Consider the following 24,463-nt stretch of genomic DNA (forward strand, 5'->3'; position numbering starts at 1 on the left):
AGTTTTTTATTGTTTTTTTTTTCCTACCTCTTTCTTATTTTGGAATTTCCTTTGAGATACTTGAGGATGTCTTGCAGATACCTGAGTGTCTCTTATTTTTCTATTTATTTTTCTCTTTAGATTTGATAATTTCTCTCAATTTATCTTCATGTTCATTGATAACAGTCATCACAAATCTGCTTATGGGCCCATCTAGAGAATTTTTTCTTTTGATTGTTAATCTGTAGACTTTCTTTTTCTTTTTTTTTTTTTTTTTTTTTTGAGACACAGTCTCACTCTGTCACCCAGGCTGGAGTACAATGACGTGATGTTGGCTCACTGCAGCCTCCACCTCCTGGATTCAAGCAGTTCTCCTTCTTCAGCCTGCCAAGTAGCTGGGATTACAAATGTACACCACCATACCTGACTAATTTTTGTATTTTTAGTAGAGACAGGGTTTCCCCATTTTGGCCAAGGCTGGTCTCGAACTCTTGGCGTCATGTGATCCACCCACCTCAGCCTCCCTAAATGCTAGGATTATAGGTGTGAGCCACTGCGCCCGGCCTAATCTGTAGACTTTCCATTTGATTATGTTGTTAATAGTTTTGGTTCCTTTTTGAGACAGTCAGTTTCTTGTGACTGCTTCTTTTTTCCTACATATGGTCATACTTTCCTGTTTGTTTTTATATCTTGCAATTTTTTTCTTGAAAAGTTTAGATAATGTATGTAGCATTTCTGTATTTTCTTTTTGTGTATGTTTCTTGTAATTCATATTTGATGTTTGGACAACTTCTGATTTTTTAAAAATTGCTTATTTCACTGGCTGGGATGAATGTTATTTTTATTTCCCCAAATACATTATAATAAGCCTATTCTGGGCAGGAGCTGAATCTTAAATAAGGAGGATCTACTACAATGTTAAGTTTAATGCTATCTGTCTATATTTAAAGAAAAACAAAACTGCTCTATTGTGTTCTGTTAATAGCTATGAAAGAAATTTTCCATAATCAGAACCTACCATAATTTTCAGAGGACTGACTTGTTAACTGTTACATGTGGGAAAAGAATACATATAGATTAACTTATTTGTGAAACTTGAGGAGGAAACACTTCATTTTCCAGGGGCTATAAGCACTTGATCATCTGTATATGTGTGAACTCACAGACAGAGGCTCTGAATTTTGGAAGCCCGTCTTAGAACCAAAGGTGTTTTCCTTGCAAGAAATAGGTAACTGTTAGTAATCTATTGCTATTAGTGACTAAGTTGCATTAACTCTGAGTGACCGGAGTTAAAATGATTTTAGATCACTCTATTTCATATTTATTATAATTATTAGTATAATAGATATGGTGTTACTGTTCTTCAGAGTCCATTCAAGATAAATAATTAGGGAAAATTTGGACACAATTTAAATATTAACAGAATTTTTAAAGTCATAATTTAAAGGAAAAGTTGTATGATTATTTGTTTTCACATTTGTAGGTATGCCATTGCATTGGCCTTAAGGGAAAAGCAGCGTGTAATATTTACCAGCCCAATTAAGGCTCTGAGTAACCAAAAATACCGTGAAATGTATGAAGAATTTCAAGATGTTGGTTTGATGACTGGTGATGTTACTATTAATCCTACGGCATCTTGTCTTGTTATGACCACAGAGGTAATTCATGTAGTGCCTCATCTGACTTTTCGTTTTTAATTAAATTAATGTGACTATTCAGTTAGAACCTGGGAAGTTTTATTGGTTGCTCTACTTAGGTAAAGTATAGTACTTTATTTTCTGATTAGACTTAGGCAAAATGGATAACATTTATCTTAAAGTGTTCTGATAATATTACATTTCTAAATTACCATACTTTATTATTTGTCTCAGATACATTTTTTTCTTCAGGTATTTTTAAAGTTTATTTCTGTCAGTGACATGAAAATATTTTACTGGTTTTATGTACATAGTTTTAAGCATTTGAATATATAGTAATAGTGACTCTTCATTTCATGTGACTTTGCCGTCTTCTATATCTGAGTGTTGATACAAGTAGATGAGTAACTGATTTTTATTTATTTATTTATTTTTTGAGATGGAGTCTCGTTCTGTCTCGCAGGCTGGAGTGCAGTGGTGCAACCTCTGCTCACTGCAAGCTCCGCCTCCTGGGTTCACGCCATTCTCCTGCCTCAGCCTCCTGAATAGCTGGGACTACAGGCGCCCGCCACCATGCCCAGCTAATTTTTTGTATTTTTAGTAGAGACGGGGTTTCACCGTGTTAGCCAGTATGGTCTCTATCTCCTGACCTCATGATCTGCCTGCCTCAGCCTCCCAAAGTGCTGGGATTACACATGTGAGCCAACCGCACCCAGCCAAGTAACTGATTTTTTAGAGTGCAGTATTATGTTTACCTTCTTCCCATAATTGCAGTTAAGTTTTGCATATACTTAGAATATCTTAAGTTTTGGACATGATTAGTTACCTTTACTAAGTATTTTTGTACATACTTTAATTATATCTTTGCATTTAACCCCAAGGATATGGTATAATGGTGAGCATAAATTAGCTTCTGATTTGGAGAACCAGCCAAAAGCATTGCTCACTTTTCATTTTGTCGCCTCATGGAAGTTTATTTTCCATTTTCAAAACTTTCTTTCATCTGTGGAAGGTTTTCATTAACTCCAAAAATTAGGGTAACAGTTGCCAGGAAGTATCCATGTTGCAAGAAAACGAGGCAGAAAAAATGGGCAAACAGTCAGGGATGATCCAGTGTTTTGAATAGAGGATAATTTAAGTTGTACTTATATTTTAGAAAGTATGAATCTTGGGACGGTGCTGTGTATAGAAGGAAGTTGCATCATGTTCTAGACATATGGAGAGTAGGGGTGATAATTCTCTCTGTGGATTGTATCTGATTAGTAACTGTTTAGAAGCCATTTACTTTGCTTTTTATGAGAAAAGGAATATACAATATAATATACAACAATGTAATATTGAATATTACTTTTGTTAATATTTGTTAAATAGTAAGTTCTGTAACCCCTTAAAATTATTTTAATATTTCCATTTAATAAAGAATATCCAAAATTCCTTGTTGGAAAAAACAACTTTTCTCTAACTATTAGCTGTTATGTCAGAATCCAACTAAATACATTTTTTACTTTTTTCTTTAGATTTTGAGAAGTATGCTTTACAGAGGTTCCGAAGTTATGAGAGAAGTTGCTTGGGTTATATTTGATGAAATTCATTATATGAGAGATTCAGGTATATTCAGTGTTGAAATGTATATCATGTATTTCCCTTCAGAATGACATTAGGAATTTTGAGCAAGTTATTGTTAAACTTTGCTTCTAGTTTTTGTGTGGCTAGGGTTCTAATAAACTGTTGTTTCTTTATTTTTATTTACCTATTTATTTTTGAAACAGAGTTTCACTCTGTTGCCTAGGTTGAAGTGCATGATCCTAGGTAGGATCCTAGGTAGGATCATGGTTCGCTGCAGCCTTGATCTCCATCTCAGTCCCCCAAGTAGCTGGAACTACAGACGTGTACCACCATGTCTGGCTAATTTTTATTTATTTTATTAGTAGAGATGGCGTCTCACAACGTTGAGCAGGCAGGTCTTGAACTCCTGGACTCAAGTGATCCTCCCACCTTGGCCTCCCAAAGTGCTGGGATTACAGGCGTGAACCGCACCCAGCCTTGCTTCTTTAAATAGTGGACAACATGATATTATTTTTCCATTAAGATTTCATTCAAGTACAGCTCTTTAATAGTAACTTTTGCTGGGTGAGAAATGCAAATTCAAATAAAGCAAAAGAAATTAAAAGATGGCGTGCTTCTAATAGCTCACCAGTAGAACTAATGTTACAGAATTTCTAAAACTTCTAGCTTGCAAAGTTAACTTTCCTGATTTTTATTTAGTTCAGTAACTATGAAATATGTGTTTATGGTAAAAACAAAAAGTGAGGATTATGAAATAAAAATGAACAAAAAGAAAAACTTACAAATGCCCCTTACTTAGGCTGTTACGCTCTCGTAATGAAAAAGTAAGTATGCTTGGAATTTGTAGGGTGCTGGCAGGGCTAACGTTAACAAACACATTGAAAAGTTAAATGTTTAATATGTACACGCTTAAAATAAGATTTAGTTTTTATTTAAACTAGCTCACTAAATCAGCCTGTATTTATGGAGAAAGCAATAGAATTTAAGAAATCATTTACCCTTTGAATATTTCACCCTTTCCAAATTTATAAAATTAAGCTCTTAACAGAGTTGTTTTGGTTTTAGAATCAGAAATCCTTTGTTGATTTGTCTATTTTAGGAGGGAAGCTGTCAAACTTTTTCCGTTTTAATAAAAAATGACTTACGGTTTTATCTTTCATCAAGTCTTTCTTTCATCTCCAGAGGATCACAAGGATAATTTGGGTGAACGATGCCGTCTGGAATAGGAATAGTATCTTCTAAATGTGTTGCTATAACTTTCTACAAGTTAGTAACCATTACTTTTCAATGTGCAGTAGAAATACTGTTCCGCTGCCTTGTCATTGAGGCTCTTGTTAGGTTGTTTGGAAAGATTAACCCTGGAATTGCTCTTTGTAGGCTATTTCAGAGTACATTGTATTTATAGTGGTTTAGTCTACTAATTTTCTACTGGATAGATTAATGGTGAGAAATAGTTTTCAGTAAGGTTCTGTGGCTTAAAATATTCTTGAGTAAAGTCTGCATTTCTAACTATAAAGCTTCAGAGAATATAATTTTAGATATTATCACAGAGTGACACTGTAGTCCAACTATAGTCCAAAGTATATATTTATTTTTTTCAGAACGTGGTGTAGTATGGGAAGAAACTATTATTTTGCTTCCTGATAACGTCCACTATGTCTTTCTTTCGGCTACTATTCCAAATGCCCGACAGTTTGCTGAATGGATTTGCCATTTACATAAACAGGTATTTTTTCCTCCTTTTTTGATGTCTTCAATATTCAAAATGTTACAGATTAGTCTTGCTTTACTCTCCCTTTGCTTTTCTCCTGATGTTGTCCAGAATAATAAAAAAAACATTTTAATGGTAAACTGCTTCTCAAATCAAGCAGCTTATCAAAATCAACTGACTGACTTTTTAGAAATGTTGATTTCTGAGCCCCATCTCAAACCCACTATATCTAAATCTCAGGTAATAGTGCCTTGGGAACTCCAATTTTAAAAATTCCCCAAGTTGATCTGATGATCTGCCAGGTTTAGAAACTACTGCATTTACTCAAATAGTTATCCATGAGTACACAGAATTTCCCCTAATGCCTTGGTGCCAGGAAAAGCTGGGCATCTCTGGAGCATTTGATTTGATTTTTCTCATGTAAACACAGACTTTTTACTGACTTTCTGTTATTGCCTTTCTAGTCTGACTTTAGCGTCTGTATATGCTTGTAATAGGCATTTGTTTATGTATACTGAATTTATTCTTGCTTTTATTTTTCTGCCCTTAATTTTCCTTTACACTGATGTTCTCATGAACTTATCTGTTTATAAGCTCCCTGATCGTGTTTTTATGGCATTCTCCCATATTGCTTCTGTAGGATAGAAAAATCCAATGGATCTTGGGGAGAAGCTAGATCAAGTGCTGCTTTATACTAAGGTTTTGAAAAGCCTGGGTGGGGCAGAAAAGTTCCATTTTACTTCATGGATCCTTTGTATCACCGTATACCTCCTCTATAGAAAAATAAGCATCTTTCCGTAATTACAGCATTCCAGGGCTAGGTAATGGGTAGTTGATGCTCAGGTCATGTATTTAGCCCTGGTTAGGGAATTGGTAAGTTGGGAAGATGGTAGTATAATTTCATAGACCTAATTTTTCTACGTTTTTCTCTTGCCTGGGTTTTAGTGAATTTTTTGAAGTGTTTTCTTTTTGAAATGTTGAATTCATTACTTGATTTTCTTAAGATCTTTTAGGTTGGACTAAGATACAGTTTTATTTTGAGGAAATAAAATTTTGTATGTTTAATTCTTTCTTTTTACAGCCTTGTCATGTTATTTACACAGATTATCGGCCCACTCCATTGCAACACTACATTTTTCCAGCAGGGGGAGATGGCCTGCATCTTGTGGTTGATGAAAATGTAAGAGAGTAATTGTCCTTTTTAAATCTATAATGTCATACTTTATTATTAATATCTTGTTGTTGTTGTTTTTAAATTTTGAATTAGAGAAGAATGGAAAAGATACATTTGTTTGTCTTAGTTTTAATCAATCGATCTTGATTTTTTTGTGTGTTTTTATTTCAAACATTATGTTTGAGACTTGTGTTTTTCTTATGCATGAATCAGATTTCCCTCCTTTCCCAGTATTTAAAAATACCTAGAGAATAGGGGTTCTGGACATGTTTCAGATATCTTATGTTTTGCTTTTCTTCATTTTTTATTCCTTCTTTTTCACCTTTTAATACCTCTTACCACAGATCATGTTTGGACTATTTTAGTGGCTTTCATTATTATACTAAATTATTTTTATTTGGGGAAGCCTTATGTATGAAAAATGTTTGAATTATGATTAAGTATTAGTGAAGTTACACAGAAAAAATTTGTGATTCCAGGGTGACTTCAGAGAAGATAATTTTAATACTGCAATGCAAGTGCTTCGAGATGCAGGTGATTTGGCCAAAGGAGACCAGAAAGGGCGGAAAGGAGGAACAAAAGGTAATTTGGAACTTTGCTTTGAGAGAATTTTACATGTAAATTGTATATTCAGATTACTCTGATATTTTTTGTCTTAGTTTTTTTTTCTCAAGCTATGTAAAGGTCTAGACGATATGTGATAAAATTGGATAAATATTTATCTTTTTTGTATGACATTAAGTATAATTTACATACTATAAAATTCACTCATCTAAGTATACAATTCAGTAGTCTTTAGTATATTTACAGAATTGTGCAGCCATCACCACTGTCTAGTTCCAAAATATTTTCATGAACCCAAAAAGAAACCCTGTACACATTAACAGTTATTCTCCCTTTTCCCCCAACCTTTCCCTTCTCATCCCGCAGACTTAGTTAATCATTAGCCTGTTTTCGATCTCTGTGGCTTTCCCTTGTCTGTGCATTTCATGTTTGGAGCAACTGGCTTCTTTCACTTAATGTAATGTTTTCAAGGTTCGTTACTTTTAATTTTTTTTTTTTTTTTTTTTGAGACAGTGTCTCGCTCTGTCACCCAGGCTGGAGTACACTGGTGCTGTCTTGGCTCATTGCAACTTTCTGCCTCCTGGGTTCAAGTGATTCTCCTGCCTCAGCCTCCCAAGTAGCTGGGATTATAGGCACCTGCCACCATGCCTGGATAATTTTTGTATTTTTAGTAGAGACGGGGTTTCACTGTGTTGGCTAGGCAGATCTCAAACTCCTGACCTGAAGTGATATGCCCATCGTGGCCTCCCAAGTGATGGGATTACAGGTGTGAGCCACTGTGCCCGGCTATTTTGTTCATTTTATGCTATATGTACTCATTCCTTTTCATGGTTAAATAACATTCCATTGTATGGATATACCACATTTTGTTTCTCCATTCATCATTGGATGGACTTTTGGGTTTTTCTGGTTTTTGACTGTTAGGAATGCTGTTGTAAACATTGATGCATGTACTATTTAATACAAGTTTTTGTGTGAATAGGTGTTTTCCTCTGGATATGTACCTAGGAGTGGAATTGCTGCACCATGTGGAAAGTCTATGTTTCACCTTTTGAGAAACTGCCAAAGTATTTTCCAAAGTGGCTATACCATTTTACATTTCCTTCCAGGAATGTGTGAGGGTTCCATTTTCTCTATATCCTTTGTATCACCGTACTCCTCCTCCATAGAAACAGAGGCATCTTTCTGTAATTACAGCATCCCTGGGCTAGGTAATGGGTAAATGAAACAGATTATGTATTTTGCCCTGATTTCCCATTTGGAAAGATGGTGGTATAATTTGATGGATCTAATTTTTTCACATATAATTTTTCCACGATACTTAGTATTGTATGTCTGATTATAGTCATCCTATTGAATGTGAAGTGGTATCTTAATGTGGTTTCAGTTTACATTTCCCTGGTGGCTAATGATGTTGAACATTTTTTCATGTGCTTATTGGCCATTTGCATATTCTTTCTCTATTTTAAAAGTATGTTTTTTTATTGTTGTTGTTGAATTATGATAGTTCTTTACATATTCTGGATACTAGACCCTTATCAGATAGATGATTTGCAAATATCTCCCCCCATTCTGTTTGAGGTTGTCTTTTTACTTTATTGATGGTATCCATGAAATCACAAAAGTTTTTCACTTTGATGAAGTCCAGTTCATGCATTTTTTTCCTTATGTTGTTTATGCTTTTGTTGTCATATCTAAGAATGCTTTGTCTAACCCACGGTCAGGAAGATTTATTCCTATATTTTCTCTTAAAAGTTTTATAGTTTTAGCTTTTAAATTTAGATCTGTGATCTATTTTGAGTTAATTTTGGTGTGTTGTTTACTGTTTTTGCAGGACCATCAAATGTTTTCAAAATTGTGAAGATGATTATGGAAAGAAATTTCCAACCTGTGATTATTTTCAGTTTTAGTAAGAAAGATTGTGAAGCCTATGCACTTCAAATGACCAAATTAGATTTCAACACAGGTACTACATCATTTCAGTATCATTTTAATGTTATGTGAAAATGAGCGTAAAATATATTTCTAGTAATATTTTTATCTGTTACATATTACTAGGATATGCCATTCACCTTACAGTTACAGCAGTACTCAGCACATTTGTAAAAGCTTTAAAGGCCTTTGACTTATACTTTCTTCCCTTTCTTCTCCTTTTATTGAAAGATATGAGTACATTGTTCTATTTAAAATTTGGAGAACCCTATGAAAAATATTAGAATCATGCCTTCTTATACTTTGTTACCGTAAACTCCTCAGTTATTGTGGCTCTCTATTTGACCACTTAAGGGTAGGTCTCATAGCTTGGTTAGACCACCTTCTATATAGAAAATACCATGCTTCATTCTCACTGAAGTCTAAACCAGTAAGACCTGCCCTTTGCTTAACTATTTTGTAATTCTCAATCAAAGTGATATAACTTCTAGCAAATCGGTAAATTATTCCTATACATTAATTGCAAAAGTAATTCACTTGAAGTCACACAGTTAAGACAGTAGCACAACCTGGCTGTCTTAGTCCATTTTGTGTTGCTGTGACAGAATAGCTGAGACTAGTGCATTTTCACGCTGCTGATAAAGACATACCCAAGACTGGGCAATTTACAAAGAAAATAGGTTTAATGGACTCACAGTTCCACGTGGCTGGGGATGCCTCACAATCATGGTGGAAGGCAAGGAGGAGCAAGTCACATCTTACTTGGGTGGCAGCAGGCAAAGAGAGGGAGCTTGTGCAGGAAAACTCCCATTTTCAAAACCATCAGATCTCATGAGACTTAGTCACTGTCACGAGAGCAGCACAGGAAAGAGACACCCGCATGATTCAGTCATCTACTGGGTCCCTCCCACAACACATGGGAATCATGGGAACTACAAGATGAGTTTTGGGTGGGGACACAGAGCCAAACCATATCACTAGGTAATTTATGAAAGGCAGAAATTTATTTCTTATAGTTTGAGAGGCTGGAAATCCAATTTGAGGGACCCAGCACATCTAGTGAGGGCCTTTTTTGTCGTGGAATCCCACGGCTGAAGACAGTAGGGCAGGAGAGCATGCAAGAGAGAGGGTGGGAGAAGGGGGCTGAACTCATCTTTTTATCAGGAACGCATACCAGTGATAACTAACCCACTCCTCTGATAAAGGCATTAATCCATTCATGAGGACCCTGTCTCTTAAAGGCCCTACCTCTCAACACTGTTTCATTGTGGATTAAGGGGTCAGCACATTAACTTTAGGGGGACACATTCAAACCAAACCACTGGCCAAGAATTGCAGTGTGCTGAATACCAACCCGATTATCTTTCAACTCTGCCTTTTGCACATGTAATCCAGTACAGTGAAAAGTAAATAATATCTTAAGCCATCCAAATTTAAATTTCAGTTGTATTGTTTTCTTTATCAAGGCAGGTTTTGTTTTTTTATCTGTGCATTTTAAAGCTAATTCCTACTTTTCCATGAGTAAAAGTAACAAATGACAGATAGCTGACATAGCCTTCTAAAGCCACTAATAGTTTGTGTTTTTTTAAAGACTGAATTGTTCTGCCCATAAATGTTTTCTCTTACCTACAAGTGCCGAATAAACTTAAAGTTGCAGGGTTGCATACTGATTAACAAATATTTATTCAGTTTAACAAATGCTTAATACATATTATTTGATAGACACTGTACAAGAAGGCAGTGCAATGGTTAAGAAAGAGCATGGGCTTTGGAATTGTTTTTCTCACAGTTAATAGTGGTGCTAATTATTAAAAACTAAGTTTCACTTTACTTAGTAGTAAAATGTAGATAATAATAGTTCCTGTGTCCTGTAATTGTTAGACTTAAATGTTGTATGTAAAGCACCAGATGTGGTTATTGTTACTATTTTTGTAAGATAGTACTTTTTTCATGAATTAAGTCTACTAGATATGTTTTGAAAGGCAGAGAATTATATTGATTATGTGGTAATTTTTATCTACTTTCTGCTTGACCATCTTAAATGCCACCTCTTTACTTTTGCTCTTTAAAGACTCTTTTTTTTTTTTTTTTTCTGAGATGGGGTCTCACTCTGTTGCCAGGACTGGAGTGTAGTGGTGCGATCATGGCTCACTGCAGCCTCAGCCTCCTGGGCTCAGGTAGTCCTCCTGTCTCAGCCTCCCAGGTAGCTGGGACTACAGGTGCACGCCGCAATGCCTGGCTAATTTTTTTGTATTTTTTGTAGAGACAGGGCTTCGCCATGTTGCCCATGCTGTTCTCAAACTTCTGGCCTCAAGCCAGCCACCTGCCTCAGCCTCCCTAAGTGCTAGGATTACAAGCTTGGGACACCACGCCTGGCCTTTAGATTCTTATTCTTTGTAATGTGTGAAGTTTGGTATCACTAACTCATTTTGATATTTCTGTACCCTTGAATTTTCTCCTAGATGAAGAAAAGAAGATGGTTGAAGAAGTATTCAGTAATGCAATTGATTGCTTATCCGATGAAGATAAAAAACTCCCTCAGGTGAGTTTTCAGTATCAGTAGATAAAAGTGTAGATAATAATAGATTGCATATATTCACTTTACATTGCTTGGTTTTATTACTCTATTGCACTTTTCACACACTGTAGCATATGGGTTGTGATATGCCCTTAATGATACTTTGACTTTTACTTTAAACTTCAAAAAGGCAATAGGAAGAAAGATTTGCTGCCTGAAGGAACTTTTCTCTGAGAGCTAGTATGGTGTGAAAATTACTGCTAGTGTTCTCAGTATTACAGAATTTTTAATGCTAGTTTTAAGTCATTAACTTTTTTAATCCAGAAGGCTACCACATAAAATAAAAGAGAACACTTACTGAAAATCATGTGTTTAGTGAGGAATTTAACATACCTACTTTGCCTTAATCCAGTGTATTTTTGCTTTGACTGTTGAAACAGCCTGGGAATTCCAAAATATGCTGATGCTTTTGTGCCACTTCCAGAGATTCTGATTTAATTGATCTGATGTACATTCTGGACATCAGAATCTTTTAAAGGCCCCCCAGGTGATTCTGCTGTGCATCCAGAGCTGAGAAATAGTGCTTTAGACTGGTATGAAAGTTTTGTTGAGTGGAAAGAAACATTGGGAGATCATCATACTCTCCTTTACAGATGAATGCCTTGATTTGTAAGGGATTTTCCATAAGACTGTGATAACATGTTTCTTGCTATTTGAAAAGGGTATTTAATGTATAAACTTTTTTGTAGTTTTTCTTCCTGGCTGAATTATTAGTATCTAAGGGCTGAGCCATGTTTTTATACATCTTTGTTATAGCGCACTTCTAGTAGTAAGTATTTAATGGCGTTTGATAGATTGTTGAAAGAATTCTTCAATAATTGGTTTATTTTTAGATTAAGTACATATTCATGTTAAATATGTGTTACAGTGATTTATTTTTTGGGGGTTTGAGTTGCCAGTATCTTTTAAGTTTATTTTCTACAGGCAAAAACTCTGCCCCTATAATGTGTAATTGTTTTTTGAGGAGATGAAGTGATGCTGGAAAATTTAAGACAGCAAAGCATTTGTAAAGTATACTTACTATATGCCTTTCCTATGAGCTTGGCCAGAATTATATTGAATTTAATAATCCGTGAGAATATAGGTTTGAGTTTTGCTTTTATTCTGGAAAGATTTTATTAAGTTTCTTTAAAGAGAAAGCATTCTTTACTGTTTTTCTTAATTTAGTTTAACATTTTAAAAATCCTTTTCTCACATCATTATAAAATCAGTGTTATTCCAAAATCACAGGTAGAACATGTACTTCCTCTTTTGAAGAGGGGAATTGGTATTCACCATGGTGGTTTACTTCCTATTTTGAAAGAAACTATAGAAATTCTCTTTTCTGAAGGATTGATAAAGGTATGGTTTTATTTTTATTTTTTATGCCCCCATATCATGTTGTATGAAGAGTTTGAAAATGAGAGAACATTGTTTATAGGCAATATGTGTGTTTTTAACAAGGCTTAATGAAATGACTTAAATAATGAACTTAATTTTTATATATGATGTTATACTTAAATAAATCTTGAAGTGTAGGTAAAAAAAAAACATTTGTTTCCTTTCTTCAAGAATGTAGTGGTGGCAGGGTACAGTGGCTCACACCTGTAATCCCAGCACTTTGGTAGGCTGAGGTAGGTGGATTACCTGAGGTCGGGAGTTCGAGACCAGCCTGACCAACATGGAGAAACCCCATCTCTGCTAAAAATACAAAATTAGCCAGTCGTGGTGGCAAGCACCTGCAGTCCCAGCTACTAGGGAAGCTGAGGCAGGAGAATCACTTGAACCCAGGAGGTGGAGGTTGCAGTGAGCGGAGATCACACCATTGTACTCCAGCCTGGACAACAAGAGCAAAACTCTCAAAAACAAGAACAAAACCAAAGAATGTAGTGGTAACACTATTGGATACCACAGAATGTTGCAGAAGGTGTATTTAATTACTAAACCCGGGGTTGTAAACTTCTTTCTGCATACAGAATAAAAGGATTAGTTTAGAGAAGACAAGGAAATTGCTGGTTAGACTTAGGAAAGAGAGTTTTTTTAATATTCTAATTTAAACCAAAGAGCATCTGATTTACTTTTTTTAAATGATATTGATATTTATACCAAGAAATGGGATATTAAAAATGGGAAACAACATCAAAATGTAATCATAAGTCTATATATGACTCATACTTTTTTTTTTTTTTTTGAGGCAGAATCTTGCTCTGTCACCCAGGTTGGAGTGCAGTAGCACCTCTGCCTCCTGGGTTCAAGCAGTTCTCCTGCCTCAGCCTCCCAAGTAGCTGGGACTACAGGAGCATACCACCATCCCCAACTAATTTTTTTTTCTTGTTTTTTGTTTTTGTTTTTGTTTTTGTTTTGTTTTGTTTTGTTTTGTTTTTGTTTTTGTTTTTTTGTAGAGATGGGGTTTCACCATGTTGGCCAGGCTGGTCTTGAACTCCTGACCTTAAGTGATCCTCCCACCTCAGCCTCCCAAAGTGCTGGGATTATAGGTTACCATGCCCAGCCTCATACATTATGTTTAAAAATTATTAGAATTTTAAAAATCAAATGTGAGATTTATCATGAGAACCTCAGCACTAAGTAAAATATTTAAGATAAATTTACTTATCTTGAAGAACATATTTGAAGTCACTTAGATAATGAATTTTATACTTACTTAGATCCTGGTATGTCCCTTCTAGATTGTATATTTTGCTGAGCCCTACTTTTTAAGGATCTTTTAAAAAATACACAAGCAGTACTTGTTGGGTGTAAAATTCAAATAGAGCAGTTGTATGTAAAGTAAAAAAATGAAAGATCATCCCATCACTTGCCAGAAATATCTACTAGTATACATACAAATAATGCATTAGTCATTTTGTAAACAACAAAAAAAGTCATTATACTACCCCTATTATATAATTTCATCATATGTCAGATTCTTTTTCATTCTTTTTAATGAATGAATAGTATGCTATTGAGATGATGAACTAAAATATTTTTACTTCTTTCCTAGAGAATTTAGTACTTCAGTGACTTTACTTATACATATATCCTTTTGTACCTAAACCACTATTTTTGTTGGTCTTAGAAGTGAATTACAGAGTCAGTGATTCTAGTCTTCCTTGAGAGATCTTCTAATACTGAAGTGGTCCTCAAAATCACTGTGTCATCAGTTGCAAAGGCCAGGAAATGTGTTCGTGTTTAGAAAAATATTCTATGACCTAAAACTTTGTTCGTAAGACCAGTGTGTATTCTCTCTAGTTGGCACTGTTAGAATTTAAGAAAGTCTGTTTTCCCTTAATTACCAAACTTCTGGGCTACGAGAGACATTAAATGTTAATTAATAATTTTATATATAAAATACGAAATAGGTTTGAGAACATATTGTTTGTTATTTTTGTAGGATCTCATTAACTAATTTTAAAGATTAATAATGCATTTACTTAAAAATTATAAAACCAGATTTTCAGCTTAAAATACATGTTTAATTATAGAATTACTTATTTACTTAGGCCTTATTTGCCACGGAGACCTTTGCTATGGGAATTAACATGCCAGCTAGAACTGTTTTATTTACAAATGCCCGCAAATTTGATGGGAAGGATTTCCGATGGGTAAGTAAAGCAATTCATATATCAAAATAATTTTTGTCTTTGTTATACTATAGATAACTGGCTTACATAGTCTTTGAGATTTTAAGTCCCACCTACTTAAGAACTTGAACCTGAGCTAATACAGTTTCATCAAGGTTAAACCTTGGCTTTTGGCCATTTGTGGTGGCTTAGGCTTATAATCACAGCACTTTGGGAGGCCAAGGTGGGAGGATGATTTAAGGCCAGGAGTTTGAGACCAGCCTGGGCAACATAGCGAGACCCCATCTCTACAAAAAATGCAAAAATCACCTGGGAGTGGTGATGTGCACCTGTAGTCGCAGCTACTTGAGAGGCTGAGGTGGAAGAATCACTTGAGCCCAGGAGGTCAAGGCTCCAGTGAGCTGTGATTGCACCACTGTACTCGAGCCTTGAGGACAGAGTGAGACCCTGTCTCTGAATAAATTAATTAATTGAACAAACCTCCGTTCCCTTAAATTTTTATCCTAACTCCTTCACTCCTACCTCTCCTTCAAAAAAAAAGAGATTCCTTTAAGTGAAGGAGTTTGATGATAGGAGGTTAAGTGTGCAAGTGGTTTATGAATGCTTTAAATCATTTTAAATATGTCTAGAGTTTTCATTTCTTAAAGTTTAAGGTATTAAAGCACCACTACAGTGGCTGTACTTGCATCTATTTTGCCCTTCAGATTTAAAAAAGAAGTTCTAACAGGTTTGCACACATGTCCAAGGCAGAAGCAAAGAGAGAAAGTTGGGAGCATAGGTGAAACAATGAACTGGGGTAAAAAGCAAATCCTTAATCCCAAGGCAAGTACTCCATTTAGTAAACAATTACCAAACTTAAAATATGAATTTAGAACTCTGTAGGTGACTGGGATGCTGAAGTAGAAACAGAGCAAAAAGACAATCCAGACTCGTTTCTCTTGACAGATATACAATAAAATGTTATGCTGTAAACACTCTTGAGAAGTATGTTCAGGGATATAGCATAAGAAAGGAAGTCATTTGGGGGTCAGGGAATGCTTCATTGAAAGGCAGTCCTTAAAATAAGTAACAGCAGATGAGAATTTGCTAAGCAGACAGTAGAATATTGGCGGGGGTGAAAGGAAAGTGATGGAACAAAGATTTCTAGTTTGAATTCACATAGCCTGGCTTTGGGGAAAATAGTCCTTTATTTAACCTTTTTTCTTTGAAATTGGTGATTCTCTCTGCTTGGAGAAGTTTCTGAAAGGAATTACAAATCATCAAAATGCTGAAAAGTACCCTCGCTGAAACTGTAAATAAAGGCGAAACATTTTTCATGATGTGTTTTATTTTAAAATGTTGGATGCTCTACAAAAGAGGAATACGAGTATGGTGAGGCAGTGACATTTCTGGGCCAGAACTTCTTGGGTCAGGAGGGCCTGGCCAAGGCTGCCCCTGGGAAAAGCTGAGTAGAGCTGCTGAGTGGGAGCCAAACCCTCTGTGCTAGCAGGGACTCTGCAGTCTGGCTAAGGCTGGGCCCTAGCCCCTTCCTACCCAATAAAGGCAGCTGTGGAGAGAGGGAATTTGGGTTCCAGCCTGGTTTGTGGTGGGGGGAAGGTACCATGACAGATTTGAGGATGATTTCTAGTGGACAGCAGTCAACCAACCGCACCCACCTCCCACAGGGACTCCCTCTAGCCTGAGACTCATCGGGGTCCAGACTGGAAGGCTAATGCCATGAGAGGAAGCAGGCACAGGGTGGATTGGGCGAGGGAAGCTCTGAGAAGGTCAGTGCCCAGCCACCCAGGGTTCAGAGACATTTCACACAATATGATTAAGTTTCAGGGAGAGATGCGTAGAAGCTCAAGAGAAGGAGAGAGTTAAGCAGCCTGGGACCCTCCCTCACAAAGCAACCCTTTCCTTCCTGCTTCCTTGTGGAGGACAGTGGGTGTGCATGATGGGTGTGTATGATGGATGTGCAGTGATCACTCCCAGGCTCTCTATACTATGCCAGATGCCAGATAGCACCTTCATGCCACTGTAGAAGAGGGAGCACTGGAGCCTGATGGAAAAGGGCTATGGGCCATATCAAAGGATTGAACCAGGGCTGACAATGGAATCCTAATGGTGAACCCCCTGCCCTCTGCTTTGGCCCTCAAGGGTCCCATTCCCCAGGTAGCAGCAGTGAGACTCCCTTTAACCCCTCCACTGTTAAGAAGGAGGCACCTGGGGGATGGAATGGACATCCAAGGGGGAAAGGGAGGTAATAGTGGGCTCTGCAAAGAAGGCATTGAGGGTGGTAGGCTGGTGGGCCAGGGACCCTCTCATAGTCAGAGATAGGCTGGACCCTGGGGCAACCCTGCCACCAGCATGGCCACACCATCTAGAAGGGTTAAGGTCCATGCTGTTGCCCTACCACCAGAGCTCTTGGCGAATCCTGGGGCCAGGAGATGTCTTTGTGGGGGCACCATGGAGAAAGAAATGTCTTGGCTGGGAGGTAGGGGACTGTTTGGATCTAGCCAGGGGCTACGAGTCCAGTCAAGGCATAAGCTTTGTGTTTACCTGGGCCTCCCACTGGAGCATAATCTTAAGGATCAAGATGCCTTGGAATGTAGAGAGTCAGGGAAGAAGGCTCTGTGGAGGAATGGGGGGTAGTTCTAGAATTAACTGTCCCAAAGGGTCCTGAGGCTATAGAACACTCTTCAGCCAGCACTGCTGCCCCGACTTGTTCTGGGGAAGAGTCAAAGGGTTAGGGAGACAGTGAAGGCCAGGTTCTGTCCTTTCTCCAACTCATACCAGAGCAGTTTCCCACCAAAATGAGTGTCAGTGCCAGACCAGATGCCTCATTCAGGGAGTCACAGACAGCCCCCTGTGCCACCTCTACTCTTGTCACATATGGCCCAGGCCCATGGCAAGGAGTGGGGCTGCTGAAGGCACAGAGAAGGAAGTGGGACCAGACATTCTTCACCTTTTGCTTGCTGTATAGACCTATTTCCAGAGAGGGTAACAGTCCTAGATGGTACAGCAATGAATGGCCAGGCTGAGATCATGCTGTGTCTGTACCAAGCCAGGTGGGTCAGCCATTGTACTGTTGGCTGGTAATGCAAGTTTGAGTTTCTGCAGCTCACGCTCTTGCATGTGACTCAGCTTGGAGCCTGTCAAGTGGCTTTAACACGTGGACTGGGCATATTTGGTGCTCTGGCAGTGTGAGGAGGCACATTTGAGGAGGTTTTGGGAGATGAACTGGTGCAGATTCTTCGTGGATGAAGAGGCTGCCGTGTTTACCACCCACAAGTGTCTCAGGGCCTGCAGTGTAGTCATATGAGCTCCAGGGTCCGCTGTCAGCAGGCAGTCAGTGAAATCCTTAGCCAGGTTGGACATACTGGGTAGCCAGGGCTCATTCGAGTAACTATACTTGTCTCTGAGGCATGATTGTTGTCCCCAAAGGGCATAGTGCTACTCAGCAGGATGTAGACGATGATGCCTGGGACCCACACGTGCACTGAATGGTGTAGTACTTGCAGGCCAAAACCTCTGGGGCACGGTATGCTGGTGTGCCATAGGTGGTCTTCATCAGGCCGTTGTAGTTGTTGCTGTTCTTGCAGGCACTGACCAGATTGAAGTCAGTGATGATGATCTTGGAGTCAGTGCCTGGATGGTGGTAGAGCAGATTGTGAGGCTTGAGGTCTTGGTTTGTGATGCCCAGTGCATGCAGATACTGGATGCCATCTAGCACCATCTGCAGCATTCACATGGCGTCATGCTCAGTGAAGGAACCCTTGGTGATGATGTGGTTGAACAGCTCTATGCTAGCAGGGATCAGTTGTATCAACATGTATACATGCTCCTGCATCCTAAACACCTCCACCGGCTGGACAATGTTGGCATGACGCACCTGGTGCAGCACGCACAGCTCTGACTCCCACACCTCCTACCCCTCCTGGTACTTGATCTCAATTATCTTGGTGTATGCTGCCAAGTGGCTCAGTGCTCCATGCATACCACTTGGCAGAATCTCCTTTGCCAATTGGGGTCTTCATGTCATACTTAACTGTCATATATGGGTTGAACTTGGCCCTGTATTTAGCCACCCTGGCTGTGTGATCACAAGGGAGGCTCTTCGTGGCCGGTACTGGGGACACTGCATATTGACTGGCTGCTGGAAACCTGCCTGCCTCTATGATGAAGTGCTTATACATACCACTCTGAGTGCCACTGAACAGCTGCACCTTCTTGACCAGATCCAGCTAGACATCGTTGGATGGCTAGGGAAGGACCTTGCTTTTCCCTCAGCCCATCATGGACATAAAGGCATCTTCTCCAGTGAGGCTGGTGGGATCTGCTCTGTAGGCAGTGTTCCATCTATACCTCATACAGGCAGTGGGCTTTCAGCATCTCAGCAGCTCTGCTAACCATGTCTGAGCTAGGACTGCCACCACCATCCTCAGGCATCAGCATTGTGACCTATAGTGGTTTTTAACTCTTTTTGAGTTACAGTTTTTTTAAAAGAATCTGGACCCTTTCCACAGAAGAGTACACATGCACTTACAGAAAAAACTTTGTCCAGTGTTGAAGTGGTTCAGTGGTGCCCTGAAAGCCTGTATACAGGTGGCTTACTAACCTTCTTCTATCAGGTTGTTCCTGGTGACAGATGGACTCAACCAAACTCCAAGCATACATACCAAGAAAATAGGAGAGAATTTTGTTTTTTCCAAAAGCATGAATTATAGTCATCTCATTTTGCAGATTCAGAAAGTTAATTATGATCAAGTCAGAATTGATACTTGGTTGAGTTTGAGTCATTGCATTCTTAGATTTTGCTGTTTTCGCTGGGCGTGGTGGCTCATGCCTGTAATCCCAGCACTTTGGGAGGCTGAGGCGGGCAGATCACAAGGTCGGGAGATCAAGATTTTGCTGTTTTCCAGAATATCCAGCTCAAAGGTATTTTTTACTGCCAGTGAATTAGCCAATATTTCCCAGAAGCTGTCATATATTTGTAAGCATAATTAACAGTAATTGGCTTATGTGGAAAGCCAAAATTTTTAAAAGCCTAAATTTTAGGCTTTAAATTTAGATTAAAAGCATAAATTTTCGATCCAAAATGATAATAAGTCTAAAATTTAGTTTTGTTATGTCAGTGTGATGTCGGTTTGAAACATTATTCTCACATGTTTTGCATTTTTGTGCTTTGACTTTAACTCTTCTCAAACTTCATGTTGTTTTTAATCATGTTTCCTTTCTTAGGGTTTATAACTTGTTATAAATTTTATAAAAAGAGAAATTTTAAGAATATGTTTTTTACCAGTTTTTTTCCTAAACTCTGAATTTTAACTATGTTCATTCAGATTTCTTCTGGTGAATACATTCAGATGTCTGGTCGTGCTGGAAGGAGAGGAATGGATGATAGAGGAATTGTAATTCTTATGGTAGATGAAAAGATGAGCCCAACAATTGGAAAACAATTACTTAAGGTAACTACATTAAGATTGTGTACCTTTACCAAGAATTCCAGAAATATACTTCAGGAGCCATTTCAGAATTGGTTGTGTCAGTCAGACACCTAAGTGAAATGAGTTAATATACTGAAACTATCTGGGCTTGGGAAGATGGAAGGGTGTGATTACTCAAAATACTAACATCTTGTATCCTACTTCACCTAATAGGTGGAGAGCAACTCATGTAATGGATAGGGTGTGAAGATCTCCAGAGAGGGCAGAAATGTTTACTTTGTCCTCCAAATTTAAGAAATCTCTTTATTTGACCCATCCACTGCACAAGTTGTTCTTTACCTGGTAGAACAGGAAGTTCTGTTCTACTGATAATCAAGTGTTTTGGGCAGGCAATGAGCTTCCTCTACCTTTGCAAGCGCAGATAGCTTAATAGGTTAATTCAGCAATCTGCGTTTACACTTTACCCTATTGATTATAAATATCCCAATCAAAAAGGACACATTTTAAGCTTTATTGCAGATTAGACTTTTATTTTGCTTGCTTAGTATTTGTGCTTCGGATGGTCTAGGATTTTGTTTTGAAGAGCTTCTCAAGGAAGATTGGCCTGGTTGCCTTTTTTCTTCTTATCCATATAGAGAAAAGTGTTAATAAGATAGGAAACTTTAATTAAAAACACAAAATTAATTGCCAGCTTATTAGCTACTTAAAAGTAGCTACTTCAAAACATGTTAAGACACACTTAGGTCAGTATCTATGAAACAGATTGTGTGTCTAACTTTTTAGACTTGGGAACTTTGTGGAGAATTTGAGATATAGTCATAATGAAGCTTGGTATGTTGAAGCAAAATTGATGAAGGTGTGTATATCTTTATATGTCTTTACATGAGTGAAGACAAAGCTTGTCTGTACATATTCATAATAATCGTATTGTGTCTTATTTTCAACTTTAGAGATTAACACTTGGAAACCTCTTTAGTGCTTCATGAAAGGAAAATTAAACAAGGCTGAAAATTTGTATTTTTATTCTTTTCTCTAATTGTGCCAGATATAGCACATGCTATTTTTCTTTCCTTGTACTGTGTGTGTGGAAAGAACAGAATCGGATTGCCAGATTATAGGAGGTAATATTTTAATGACAGCATCTGGTTCCTTTAGTGCAGAGTTTTCATTCCATTTACTTGACGTTTCTGGATTTGTTACTTTGTAAGTGTAAAGTTCTATCACCTTTCATTGCATTTTTAAAATTAACTTTTCTAATAGACTTATTGAGCTATAATTCACATACCATACAAGTCACTCATTTCCATGGTTTTTAATATATTCATAGAGTTTTGTCACCATCACCACAATCAATTTTAGAATATTTTCATCAATCCAAAAAGAAACCCCTGTACCTATTAACAGTCACTCTTCTTTCTTCACAAGACCACCCCTACCTCAAGCCCTAGACAACAACTAATTTGCTTTCTGTCTCTATGGATTTGTCTGTTGTGGACATTTCATATAAACAGACTCGTATAATGTGTACCCTTTTGTATCTGGCTTTTTTTCACTTAGCCTAATGTTTTCAAGTTTTATGCATGTTGTAACATCTATGAGTACTTCATTCCTTTTCATTGCTGAATAATATTTCATTGTATGGGTATGCCAAACTTGATCTGTTCATCAGTGGATGGACATTTGGATTGTTTCCATGTTTTGGCTGTTGTGAGTAATGCTGCTATGAACTTTTTTTTTTTTTTACAAGTCTTTACTTGAATATGTGTTTTCTTTTCTCCTGACTGTGTACCTAGGAATGGAATTGCAGGGTCATAGAGTAAATCTATGTGTAACCTTTTGAGGAACTGCCAGACTGTTTTCTTTAGTAGTTGCACCGTTTTACATTCCCACAAGCATTATATGAGGCTTCTAATTTCTTTACATTCTAGCCAGCACTTGTTAGCTGCCCTTTTGGTTAATAGCCATCCTTGGGGTATGAAGGAGAACATTTCACTTTGAATATTATACAGTTTGACTGATTGAAAGGAGTACCTGTTTTTGTGTCTGCATTTCTAGGCATATTTCTTTTATCAAGACTGGCATACAACCTTTTTCCTCTAGGTTTTTTTCCAGGTGGTTTTACTATCATTAAGGAATTTATAAGTAACTTATTCAGTATTTGTAACAACTAATACTTATTGAATATTCAATATGTTCCAAATGTTAATTACAATAATTATGTTATTATCTCCATTTTATAAATGGCATGCAGAGGTTAAAAAATTTGTCCAGAGCTATGTTGTTGTTAAATGGCAAATCCTGCTTTTGAACTCAGGCAGTCTGATTTCAGAGTTTATGCTTCTAACTACTATATGGTACTGCTTCTCAGTACCTCTTGCAAATAGATTTTTCAACTATTAGTTTAAACACTATTTGACATGAGACAACAGTTTGTTCTTTGATGTACTTAAAGTAGATAGGCTAAAAAATAGTCATGTCAGGTATATTTTCTTATAGGCAAAAATAATTGATCATTCTTAAGTAATTTCAGAACTTTAATAGAAATACTGAGTACTTAAAGTCATTTTCTCAAAAATTAAAATACGTAGCTTCTTCATAGTCACCTTATATGTAGAAATAGTAGGTTTACTTTATACATTAGTATAATTCAAGTCTATTTGTCATATTTAATTATTTTTCCTATTGGTGTTAGAAACATGGCAAAATACATGTGTTTGTTGCTGGTTGGAGCTTTCAAAATCTCAGTACATTCATACACACACACATATTTATATATTTGAGCATGTAAATAATTTAATGATTGTGAATTTGAAATATTTTAATAATTTTTTTCCTTCATTTTTATGGCTTGAGTAATTTTTTAACTTGGTCACTGCAAGTGATTCTCCTGCCTCAGCCTCCCAAGTAGCTGGGATTATAGGCACCTGCCGCCACACCCAGCTAATTTTTGTATTTTTTTTAGTAGAAACGGGGTTTCACCATGTTGGCCAGCCTGGTCTCGAACTCCTGACCTCAGGTGATCTGCCTGCCTCGGCCCCCCAGAGTGCTGGGATTACAGGCGTGAGCCACTGCATCCAGCCCTTTTTTTTTTTTTTAATAGAGACAGGGTCTCCCTTTGTTGCCCAGGCTGATCTCGATCTTCTGGGCTCAAGGGATCCTCCTGTCGCAGCCTCCCAAGGTGCTAGGATTACGGGCGTGAGCCACCATACCCAGCCTTGTTGTTGTTGTTTGTTTGTTTGTTTTTGTTTTTGTTTTTGGAGACAAGGTCTTGCTCTGTTGCCCAGGCCGGAGTGCAGTGGTGCAGTCTCGGCTCACTGCAACCTTGACCTCCAGGGCTCAAGCGACCCTCCCACCTTAGCCTCCCAAGTAGCTGGGACTACAGGCATGCACCACCACGTCTGGCTAATTTTTTTTTTTTTTTTTTTTTTGTATTTTTTGTAGAGACAAGGTTTTGCCATGTTGCTAAGGCTTGTTTTGAACTCCAGGCTCAAGTGATCTGCCCACCTTGGCCTCCCAGAGTGCTGGGATTACAGGCATGAACCATCGCGCTGGCTGGCTTGGCGAATTTTTAAAGGAGCAATAGAGAAACCTTTTCAACTTTTCCAGTCCTGCTATTGTTGAAGTATCTGCTATTAGCTTAAACAGAATTTGACATAAGGCAGCAGTTTTTTTGTTTTTTTTGTTTGTTTGTTTTTTGTTTTGAGACAGTTTCTCGCTCTGTCACCCAGGCTGGAGTGCAGTGGTGTGATCTTGGCTCACTGCGACCTCCGCCTCCTGGGTTCAAGTGATTCTCCTACCTCAGCCTCCCAAGTAGCTGAGATTACAGGCATGTGCCGCCATGCCCAGCTAATTTTTGTATTTTTAGTAGAGATGGGATTTCGCCATGTTAGCCAGGCTGGTCTTGAACTCCTGACCTCAGGTGATCCACCCACCTTGGCCTCCCAAAGTGCTAGTATTTCAGGCATGAGCCACCACGCCCAGCCAAGACAGCAGTTCTTTTGATACATTTTTGATTACTTGATATGAGCTATAAAAAAAAATCAGTTTTCATAATGTGTGTTCAAATGAAAAGTTGAGTAAATGAGAAAGTGTGTATTATTAAACAGCCTTTCAGAAAGACTGGTGAATGCATCTTTTATTTGTTAGCGGTTAGGTATTATATTTTTCCAGTATAACTAGAAGAAATACATGCTCCAATATAGTGCCCATATTTTCCAAAGAATGTAAAAATATCACAGTACTTTGAGTAAATGTTATTATTGGTTTTATCAAAATAAAACCATTTCTATAATTTCTGAAATTACTAAATAAACATACTAGTTACTTAGAGTAC

The 24,463-nt window shown here is 37.6% G+C and overlaps 1 protein-coding gene, 1 long non-coding RNA gene and 1 pseudogene across 2 annotated transcripts in view; 1 reads left to right on the forward strand and 2 right to left on the reverse strand.

Annotated features, from left to right (window-relative positions):
- LOC124900979 (uncharacterized) overlaps positions 1-4,604 on the reverse strand; it is a 35,003-nt gene extending 30,399 nt beyond the window's left edge. Inside the window, exon 1 of the long non-coding RNA XR_007058774.1 lies at positions 4,328-4,604. This is a non-coding gene — a long non-coding RNA (uncharacterized LOC124900979). The remainder of the gene's footprint in view (positions 1-4,327) is intronic.
- MTREX (Mtr4 exosome RNA helicase) overlaps positions 1-24,463 on the forward strand; it is a 117,591-nt gene that overhangs the window by 30,559 nt on the left and 62,569 nt on the right. Inside the window, exons 6-15 of the mRNA NM_015360.5 lie at positions 1,463-1,637; positions 3,134-3,224; positions 4,784-4,908; positions 5,975-6,073; positions 6,547-6,649; positions 8,466-8,597; positions 11,026-11,105; positions 12,372-12,482; positions 14,621-14,722; positions 20,026-20,151. Coding sequence (NP_056175.3) covers positions 1,463-1,637; positions 3,134-3,224; positions 4,784-4,908; positions 5,975-6,073; positions 6,547-6,649; positions 8,466-8,597; positions 11,026-11,105; positions 12,372-12,482; positions 14,621-14,722; positions 20,026-20,151 — 1,144 coding nt within the window. The remainder of the gene's footprint in view (positions 1-1,462; positions 1,638-3,133; positions 3,225-4,783; positions 4,909-5,974; positions 6,074-6,546; positions 6,650-8,465; positions 8,598-11,025; positions 11,106-12,371; positions 12,483-14,620; positions 14,723-20,025; positions 20,152-24,463) is intronic.
- Positions 17,760-18,978, reverse strand: LOC100419851 (protein serine kinase H1 pseudogene; annotated as a pseudogene).

The sequence above is a fragment of the Homo sapiens genome, chromosome 5 (assembly GCF_000001405.40).
Source record: "Homo sapiens chromosome 5, GRCh38.p14 Primary Assembly".
NCBI classification, from domain to species: domain Eukaryota; kingdom Metazoa; phylum Chordata; class Mammalia; order Primates; family Hominidae; genus Homo; species Homo sapiens.